At 44.3% G+C, this 10,877-nt stretch overlaps 2 annotated features.

Moving 5' to 3' along the window:
- Positions 214-508: a silencer, noted in NCBI's record as "tiled region #3081; K562 Repressive non-DNase unmatched - State 22:ReprW". NCBI's record gives its function as "represses a minimal TATA promoter and a strong SV40 promoter by Sharpr-MPRA in K562 cells {active_cell/tissue: K562}" and the evidence as "EXISTENCE:reporter gene assay evidence [ECO:0000049][PMID:27701403]".
- Positions 3,172-3,675: an enhancer, noted in NCBI's record as "H3K27ac hESC enhancer chr11:111435687-111436190 (GRCh37/hg19 assembly coordinates)". NCBI's record gives its function as "activates a minimal SCP1, AML or CMV promoter by ChIP-STARR-seq in primed H9 embryonic stem cells {active_cell/tissue: H9 hESC(primed)}" and the evidence as "EXISTENCE:reporter gene assay evidence [ECO:0000049][PMID:30033119]".

A 10,877-nucleotide genomic window follows, 5' to 3' on the forward strand; every position in this document is an offset into this window, starting at 1 on the left:
CCCTGCCAAATTATCTGCCCTACTGCAGAACTGAATATACTAGGAAACAAAACTCCCTGTTTTGGGAAGTGTGTTTTGTGGTTACATTTCAAGCAAAAACTGAGCACATGGTCCTGAAGGACTGATTCACTGCTCTAAAATGCCCAAGGTTCCATTCTTGCTTCAGACAGCCTCGCTCTATCATCTGCCCTGTATCCTGCACTGTGCCCCACAACTCTGGCCCTTATTACACTGCAAGCTTCGCTAGTAGGAATCCTATCTGCCGGTCAGCATCATGGGTCCTGCAACCCATGGCAGCACCTTGCAGGGTAGGCAATCAATGTCTATTGAATGGATGAACAATGCATCTTTTCAGACTGATGTCAAATAGTTTGAATATTTCAGCTTAAAAGTTTGTTTTTCACAGTCCCCCTAGGTGGAGGAGGTAACTGAGTCATTGTAATTGGAATGCCTCCCAAGAAGGAAGCATAGTAACAAGTAAACAGATGCTGGTGAATTGTGCTAACAACTTACTTTATGTCACTCATGCTTGAACTGAGGACCCACTGTTAATCTATAAAGGGAGTAAGGTTGTAATCAGAACAGACCCTCAGCATCTTCCCTTCCCTTTTTTCATTAATGTGTTGTCTCTTCTGGGACCTAGAGATCTCTTCTGTGTTTGTACACAGCCAGTCTTACCCTGCATTTTAATTATTCACTTTCTTTTTCCTCCTCAGGTTTACTAGCCTGAGTTTACCCAACTCCATTTCTATCTCTAATAATTGCACTTCACTTATGTAACAAATATTTGCTAAATGTTAAGGGTTTGCTATGTTCCCGTTGAGCTTGAGCTTATTCATTAAGCTAGTATCATATGGAAATTTAGTAAGTTTGTTTCATAATTGCTATGATTTGAATGTTTGCCCCCTTCAAAACTCAGGTTGGCCAGGCATGTTGGCTCATGCCTGTAATCCCAGCACTTTGGGAGGCTGAGGCAGGAGGATTGCTTGAGCCCGGGAGTTCAAGACCAGGCTGGGCAACATAACGAGACCCCGTCTCTACAAAAAATAAGAAAATTAGCTGGGTGTGGTAGTGCATGCCTATAGTCCCAGCTATGCAGGAGCTGAGGTGAAAGGATTACTTGAGCCCAGAGGTCAAGGTTGCAGTGAGCTCTGATCATGCCACTGCACTCCAGCCGGAGTGACAAGTGACATCCTGTTTCAAAAACAAACCAACCAAGAAAAAAAGACAAAAAAAACCTCATGTAGAAACTTATTCCCCAATGTGGCAGTATTGACAGGTGGGGTCTTTAAGAGATGATTGGGTCATGAGGGCTTTGCCCTCATGGATTAATGGGTTTTCACAGGAGTAGGACTTGTGGCTTTATAAGAAGAGGAACAGAGACCTGAGCTAGCACCCTCAGGCCCCTCACCGTGTTACGCCCTGCGCTGCCTCAGGACTCTATAGAGAGTCTCCACCAGCAAAAAGACGCTCCCACATGCAGCCCCTCAACCTTGGACTTCTCGGCCTCCAGAACTATAAGAAATACATTTTGTTTCTTTATAAATTACCCAGTTTTAGGTATTCTGTTACAAGCAATAGGAAATGGACGAAGACAACCATTTAAAACCGTATTTCCCAACCTTTTTTTCCACTGTGACACACATGACAGATAAAATGTATGTATCAGACAACCACTTTGGTCTCTTTACTCGACAAGCATTCCTGTTTGTTTGTTTGTTTGTTTGTTTTTTGAGACGGAGTCTCGCTCTGTTCCCTAGGCTGGAGTGCAGGGTCATGCGATCTTGGCTCACTGCAGCCTCCACCTCCTGTATTTGCAACTTTTCTTAGTTTGAAATTCTTTAAGGAACAGCATCTGCAAACACAGGTACTGGAATGGTTGGTAACATATTACTTGCAGCACACCTTCCATCTAAGCTCAGCACACAGGGGTTTGCCATGATGTTGGAGTTGAGAGCATCTAAAAGCCTCTGATCCAAGATAAAAATAAATCATTAGTAAAGCTGTCAATCAGTACCCAAGCCCCAGGCTCAGGCCCAGGACCCCAAACCCCACCTTTGTCATTTCCTTGCAGGCTACAGGGAGCCATGTGAGCCACCCCACAGAAGTGAATCCGGAGATTCCTTTCCTCCACAGTTTCCCATCCCTCCCCTGTGAGAACGCAAATAGGTTGTGTGATCTAAGGTGACTTCCAGTTCTAAAATTATTCAATATGATTCTTTTTCTAATTTGTTAAGCATGTTATGCCCACATTACTTCTGAGCTTGTAGTAAGACACACCTAATGGTGGATAGCAAACTGAAGACAGAAGTGTCAAATAAGGTCTAGGAAACTGCAAGCCCAGAGATGGAGAAGCAACAAAGCCAATTATTCTGTACAGCCCCTTCCTTCTTTCTTCCAAAGAACAGTAAATGGTAACTAATGGCTAAAGAATCTTAAGTTATTCTTGAATCTTGAATTTGAACAGCAGAAAGAAATAGTGACTAGAATGAGTCTTTAGAGCCGGGGCACCAGGAGAAACTGGTTTTTAAAACAGAATAATACCATGTATAGGCTGGAGGCAGTGGCTGTAATCCCAGCACTTTGGGAGGCCAAGGCAGACAGATCACGAGGTCAGGAGATCGAGACCATCCTGGCCAACGTGGTGAAACTCCATCTCTACTAAAGATACAAAAATTAGCTGGGCATGGTGGCACGCACCTGTAGTCCCAGCTACTGGGGAGGCTGAGGCAGGAGAATCGCTTGAACCTGGGAGGCAGAGGTTGCAGTGAGCCGAGATCACACCACTGTACTCCAGCCTGGTGACAGAGCATGACTCCGTCTCAAAACACACACACACACACACACACACACACACACACACACACACACACACACACACACACAAAATAATACCATGTATGACAAGGGTCCCCAGCCACCAGGCCAATGACTGGGACCCATCCCTGGCCTGTTAGGAACCGGGCTGCATAGCAGGCAGTGAGCAAGCAATACTGCCTGAGCTCCGCCTCCTGTGAGATCAGTGGCAACATTAGATTCTCATAGGAGTGCGAACCCTATTGTGAACTGCGCATGCGAGGGATCTAGGTTGTGTGCTCCTTATGAGAATTGCTGGCTCACGCCTGTAATTCCAGCACTTTGGGATTCCAAGGTGGGCAGATCACCTGAGGTTAGGAGTTCGAGACCAGCCTGTCCAACATGGTGAAACCCCATCTCTACCAAAAATACAAAAATCAGCCGGGCATAGTGGCTCATGCCTGTAGTCTCAGCTACTTGGGAGGCTGAGGCAGGAGAATTGCTTGAACCAGGGAGCCGGAGGTTGCAGTGAGCCAAGATCGTGCCACTACACTCCAGCCTGGGGGACACAGCGAGACTCCATCTTAAAAAAAAATTGAAAAAAATAAATAAAATATATATATGTAGGATCAAGCAGAATTCACCATTGCTTGACAGCATTGGTGTATTAGGGAAAAGGCCTGTCAGCATTTTTGCCTGATGCAACTTTGCCAGGAAGTTCGAGGCTGCTTTGTTTTCACCACCAGGTGGCAGTATTAGGCTGGCATAGAAATTTTACCTAATTATAATGACCAATTTCTGGCAAGCAACTGCAAAGAGAAAGGGAGGTAAAGATATATGGAGAAATAAGAAAATACAATGCAGGTGAAAATCCTGGGTTCTGGAATCAGGTTGTTGAGTTTCTAAGTCCTATTACTGCTACTTACTGGCTGTGCAATCTTGAACAAACTACATTATTTAACCTCGGTTTCCTCATCTCTAAAATGAAGATAACATTACCTACCTGGAAATGCTGCTATAATAAAAATCACAAAATATGCATAAGGTGCTTGATGCATTTTGTGGGTTGAATTTCATCCATCACCACCACCCCCCTCAGAAAAAGTATTGAACTCCTAACCCCAAATCCCTCAAAAATGTGACCTTTTTTGGAAATAGGGTCATTTCGGATATACTTAGTTAAGATGAAGTCATTAGCATGGAACCCTGTTCCAATGACTGGTGTCCTCAAAAAAAAAAGGCAATTTGGACACAGAAATGCATACAGGGAGAGCGCCATGTGAAGACGAAGGCAAAGATCATGGTGATGCTTCTACAAGCCAAAGAATGCCAAAGATTGTTGGCAAACCACCAGAAACTAGGCAAGAGGTGCGAAACAGATTTCTCTTACCGTCCTCAGAAGGAACCAACCCTGCTGACATCTTGATCTTGGACTCGTACCCTCTAGAATGATGAGAAACCATTTCTGTTGTTTAAGCCACCCAGTTTGTGGTACTTTGTTATGGCAGCCCAAGCAAACTAATAGAACAGATAAGCCCTCATTAAATACTAGCTAGTATTAGTCCTGTACTCTTTTAATCTAATTGTACTGAGACAACAATACTGTTTTTACTGTAAATTATAGCTCACTTTCCAGCTATCATGGGTTTATATATCCTGCCCTCCCCCACAAAATCATGGCATTCTGTGGAGTGACAGAGGGCAAAACCAGGGCAGACATGAGAGTCACAGGGAGGGGGATTTCCATGACACGCAGGAGGATGCCTGCTTACAACAAACACTGTAAGACCTTCACCCCTCCAGGGGCTCACGGAGAGACCATGTGAGCCCTTGGGAGAAGGAAGGATTCCAAGCCCCCAGGTGCGAGTTTTCGCTGATCAATGTGCTACACGGAAGTGATATAGGTGCCGGCTCTTATTGCCAGAGGGCTCTTATTCCACCTGCTGGTGGAAAACAGGTTGGATGTCATAACCTTTAAAACCCCTTCATCTCATCTCAGTGCATACATTTCAGCCACTTTCTTTTGAACGTATAGAAGCTTGGAATAGAAAGTGGGCAGAGCAGGTTGGTGGTAGTTTGTTTCTTTTTCTTTGGTGGGATCTGGAATCCCTAACAGCTAGTTTTACTAAAGACTGAGATTGGCTAGGTAGGATTAAGGCTGAGGAACTGCCCCTAACCCCCTACCGCATGCCACACACCTCCTCACTATTTCATCACCACACCCCCAGCCTCCAAGGCAATGAATAAGAGTGTCGAATAAATTAGCTGGAATAGGCAGCTCTGAAAGTTACCACATTTGGCAGACAATTCATCCCAAATCTTCCCTTCCTCAGGCTCAAAAAGAGACTCAACCTTGCTGGGTAGGCTGGGTGCTGTCCACAGTTAGGGGGATTTGGAGCTGGTTCTATTGCACGTATGATAGAGAAAACAGGAGGGAATACAGTTGCCCTTCTCATTCTCAGGTTCTGCATCCAAGGATTCAACCAACCATGGATGGAAAATATTCAGAAAATACAAAGCAAAATGAATGCTAAGAAAAAGAAAAAAATTTTTAAAAAAGAGAGGAAATATTTGGAAAAAAAACCCAGAAAATGTTATGTTGTTACTGGAGTTCGGCCTAGATGGTTACATTTGTACTGAGCATATGTACAGTACAGGCTTTTTTTTTCTTGTCATTATTCCCTAAGCAATACAGTATAACAATTGTTTATGCAGCATTTACATCGTATTAGGTATTTTAAGTAATCTAGAGACGATTTAAAGTATACTGCATGTAGTGGCTCAGCCTGTAATCCTAGCACTTTGGGAGGCCAAAGCAGGAGGATTGCTTGGGCCCAGGAGTTCCAGACCAGCCTGGGCAACACAGAGAGACACCATCTCTACAAGAAAAAAAAAAAATAGCCAGGAGTTGTGGTGCACACCTGTGGTCCCAGCTACTAGAGAGGCTGAGGTGGGAGGATCAGTTGAGCCCGGGAGGTCGAGACTGCAGAGAGCTACGATTGCACCACCGCACTCCAGACTGGGTGACAGAGCAACACCTTATCTCGAAAAATAAATAAATAAAATAAAATATACAGCAAGATGTGGTTGTATGCAAATATTACACCATTTTATAACAAGGACGTGAGCATCTGTGGATTTTGGTATCCACTGGCCCTGGAACCAATATCCTGCAGATACTCACGGACAATTGTATTGCCTGCCAGGGTTGCCCCAAAAGTCCCACACCCAAGTTGATGCCACAAATTGCCTCTAGGGCAGACCCCCACTCTCAGGATGGATTGGAATTTTAACTAAAAGGAATTTTGGATATGATGGTCTTATTTGGATCCCGATTTGAACAAGCTAATCAGAAAAAGACATCTTGCGATAATTGGAAAAAATCTGAACATAAACTGAGTATTAGAGAAAATTAAAGATTTATTTTTGTTTTCATTAGGAGTGATAATGACATAGTGGTTTTATAAAAGATAAAAGGCCTTATCGGTTAAAGATGACAGTAAAATGACCCAATTTTGGCCAGGCGTGGTGGCTTATGCTTGTAATCCTAGCACTTTGGGAGGCCGAGGCAGGCAGATCATGAGGTCAGTAGTTCAAGACGAGCCTGGCCAACATGGTGAAACCTCGTCTGTACTAAAAATACAAAAATTAGCTGGGTGTGGTGGTGTGCACCTGTAATCCCAGCTACTCAGGAGGCTGAGGCAGGAGAATTGCTTGAACCTGGGAGGTGGAGGTTGCAGTTAGCAGAGATTGCGCCACTTCACTCCAGCCTGGGCAACAGGGCAAGACTCCATCTTGGGGGAAAAAAAATGACCCACTTTCTTGGGCCTGTTTTAAAATATGCTATTAGGTTGGTGCAAAAGTAATTGTGGTCTCTGCCATTACTTTCTCTTTTTTTGAAATGGAGTCTCACCCTGTTGCCCAGGCTGCAGTGCAGTGGTGCAATCTGGGCTCACTGCAACCTCCACCTCCCGGGTTCAAGCGATTCTCCTGCCTCAGCCTCCCAAGTAGCTGGGATTACAGGCGCATGGCACCATGCCTGGCTAATTTTTTTTGTATGTTTATTAGAGACAGAGTTTCACCATGTTGGCCAGGCTGGTCTTGAACTCCTAACCTCAGGTGATCTGCCCGCCTTGGCCTCCCAAAGTGCTGGGTTTTCAGGCATGGGCCACCGGGCCCAGCCTGCCATTACTTTCAATGGCAAAAAAGTGCAATTACTTATAGCAAGAAAAAAGGTAGAGAGAAATGAATGAAACAAGATCAGCAAACTGATCTTGTTTTTTAAATAAGTGAGAGGCACATGGTGGTTCATTATATTATTTTCTCTCAACATACATTTTTATGTATGTGTGAAAGTTTCCATTAGAAATTTTTTAAAATAAAAAGAATGGGAAGGGGGAAAGAATCGCAGATCTTTCTCCTGCTGAGGGAAGTTCTTCTGTTGGGGTGTGAAGGAGAAAGGCTTAGAAATTCCACTGAGTTTCGGGCTGGGCGTGGTGGCTCACGCCTGTAATCCCAGCACTTTGGGAGGCCAAGGCGGGCAGATCACGAGGTCAGGAGATCGAGACCATCCTGGCTAACATGGTGAAGCCCCGTCTCTACTAAAAATATAAAAATTAGCCCGGTGTGGTGGCACACACCTGTAGTCCCAGCTACTCAGGAGGCTGAGGCAGGGGAATCGCTTGAACCTGGGAAGTGGAGGTTGCAATGAGCCAAGATGACACCATTGCACTCCAGCCTGGGTGACAGAGCAAGACTCGGTCTCAAAAAAAAAAAAAGAAAGAAAGAAATTCCACTGAGTTTCTCCTCACAGAAAACAATAAAGTGGCTTGGAGAGAATACTACTGGAACTAGTTTATCATACATGTATCCAACTTCTACTGTCTCCCAGGGCCTGGGATATGATAAACAAGAAGAAATATTAGTTCACTGAACACCCACTCTGTGCCAAGTACTTTCAAACGTCATCTTTGTTAATCCTCATAACAATATTGCTCAGGTAGATGTGATTTGTATGAGTGAGATAGAAAGACCACCCAACCAGTAAGGGGCAGGGCAAAGAGACCTTTTGGTTTTGTTGCACATTCCACAAATCATTCCACAAATAGCCAAGCTGTGTATCCCACGGTGGAGGCAAACGGGGATGTAATTTTTTTTAATTTGTATTATTTTTTCTATTTATAAAAGCACATGTGGAAATTACTTGCGTTTTTTTCACATAAGCCCTCCCATTTTTTCACTGACATACATGTCTTAAGTACCTTCTGTGTTTCCAACACTGTGGACACAAAGATATATAAGGCCCTCCCCTCAAGCTATTTACAATTCAACTGGGGAAGCAGAGCTGGAAATAAATGTCACTGTGCGTTACTTGCTCTCACAAGGGGACATGACAGAGGCAACTAGCACGCACAAGGAGGAACCTGATGTCCTACCTCCTCCACTTTGCCCGGCCAAGAGCTTTTTGAAAGTCCCAGCAGCCCATGGAAGGTTCCCCAAGCCCCTGGACAAAACTTGCCCACTCTTGTTTTCTCCCACAGCCTGCAGCATACACTTTACCATGGGATCCTTCACAGTCGAACGCACCTTAGAATTCACTTCTTTCCTCTGGGCCACCCAAATGCAGGAACCACCTCCTATTCATTGTTGTGACCCCCAGCTCTTAGGGCAGTGGCTTGCACTTAACTGGCAATCAATAATTGCATTAAATTGAGACAAAAACCTTTCCTGGCAAGTGCCACCAGCATTAATTTTCCACCCTCCTAACTGCCTTTCGATTTCTTTTCCTTATTTTACTACTAGAAATACTCAGTCTAGAATCTCTTCACAGAAATCAGTGCTTCTTAAAAGTGTCTACAAAATAATCAGACATAAAGGAAAATGCAAAGATTGAGTCACTTTCTATCAAATATTGTTTATTTCATGAAGTCCCATACAGAGAGATCCAACATAAATATTTACATTCTATGAAGTTGCTCTGCTCTAGAAAACAACTAGCCAGCCCATGTTTTTGAAAGACTGTTCTGTTCTGTTTTGTTTTCCAGAAAGAAACTGGCCTCCCTTTTGGAAGAGATTACGTTTTCCCACCTCTTTATTTCTAGAAAGGAGCTTGCTCCAAATGGCTTTTTCAGGGTCAGTGAGCCATTGAACAACCAATAAGTTCTCAGCATCTTGGGATCAGCTCTTTTTTTCTACCAATCTGTCCTTTCTCTGTGTCCCGCCCCCGTCCCCCCGCACCCCCCAAGCCAAGCTAACTTCATAATTTCCTGCTTTTCTACTAAACGTAATGGTGAATGTTTCCTATGTTGATAGATGCCCACGAAAACAACAAATCCTTATCACCTCATAAATTTTAAGAATCTGCTCCTGGATACAAAGATGTGTCATCCATTATGTGCTGCCAAGGGAATGAGCAGAGAAACCAGGCGAAGGAGAGAGCATGAGACATGAAGCCAGCCCCATCTGCCCCTTGGATTTATAGGCAATCACTTTAGTAATAGGTACAAGGTGGCCATTTATAAGGTTATAATGCATCTCCTAAATGGACAGATGTCCCAGCATCTTCCTGCTGATCTAAAACCATCAGTGACTCCTTGCTGTCTACAGAATTCAGTTCAAACTCCTTAATCCAGCATCCAGTGGCCTCGATGATCTGGTCCAACTACCTAACCTTACTACCACTCCTGTAATGCCAGTCAAGACTCGCTCTCCCAGAAACTCAGCATGCATTTTCCCATTGCTGTCTCCGCTTGTCCTCTTTCTTCAGCCTGGAGTGTCCTTTCCTCACTTCTTTATGTGACACATCCTACCCATCTGTGAAGACTCAATTAAGTGCCACATCCTCCTTAAAGCCTCTTTCCTCTTCCAAAGTCCTTTAGATCTTGGCCTGTTCCTGCCTTTCTCGTGGTTCTCAGTATGTTTTGTTTATAGGAAGGGTATGAAACAACAGCAGAAAATACCCTAGGACCTAGAAATAAAGGGGCCATATGAGAATTTAACCATGGAAATCCATTTGTACATGGACAATGACTTGCAACTGAAAAAGTGTCTCCAAGACATCTGAGCATGACCCGCAGGTGAAGCCTGGCTTAGGTCTGTAGTTGCTGCAGAGTAAATGGTATTCATGTGTCTATTCAGTGAATCAACAAATACGTACTGAGCACCTGCTAAATGACAGTTACTGTGCTTGACAGTGGGTATGTGCAATGGTGAATAAGATACAGCTTCTACCCTCATGGCAGTTATATAGTAAAAACCCAGATTAACATCAATGACTTACATGATGATAGGGCTGTGATAGGGATATGGGCGAGCCCAGGATGCAGATACTTCCTGGAGGAGGGGATGCCCAAAGTGAGAATGTGGCACCTAAGCAGAATTTCAAACAGTTCAGCATGATTGAGCTGGGAGTGTTGGGTGGGTGAGTGGCAAAGGGTGAGGGGGAACAAGACGGAAGGGGCTACAAGGAGCTTGATAGTAAATGATTCATAAGCCTTGCTGAGGAATTTGGACTTCAGCCCAGGCTGATTATTCGTTATTTACCGTCTCTCACCAAATCCCTGCCCACATCCATTTTCTATCCTACTCTGACCTGCTCTGTGCCCTAGCAGGATGACCCCTGCAGACTGCACCACCCAGCTCCCTTGCCAGATGGTTTCCTGTACGATTTGGGCAAGAGAGGCTCCAGCAGGTCCGCTGTGGGCAGGAGGAGTGAAAGAAAGGTTATGGTATTGCTTCTGCTTTCCTTTCATATCAATAGCAGTAGTTGCACCCTCTGCAGTTCAGTCTCCACCAGTTGGCCCTTTCTCTAGCTCTCACTATAATCCAGTAACTCTACTTTTTCTTCTTGTCCCCTTCTAGGGTGGTAACAGCTTCCTACTGCTGCTAACAAACTCATCCATAGTTTGCTTCCTTAACCCTATCCATATATCTGCAAGTGGTACTTTCATTAAAGTCTCTTCTCTTCCTCTGAACCATCCGAAATGAATTCCGTTTTCTGACAAGACCCTAACTGATACAATCCTGAAAGTTATAAGGAGACATTCAAGTGTAGGGAGTCACAAAAAAACAAAAAATATGGC

This window comes from Homo sapiens, chromosome 11 (assembly GCF_000001405.40).
Source record: "Homo sapiens chromosome 11, GRCh38.p14 Primary Assembly".
NCBI classification, from domain to species: Eukaryota; Metazoa; Chordata; class Mammalia; order Primates; family Hominidae; genus Homo; species Homo sapiens.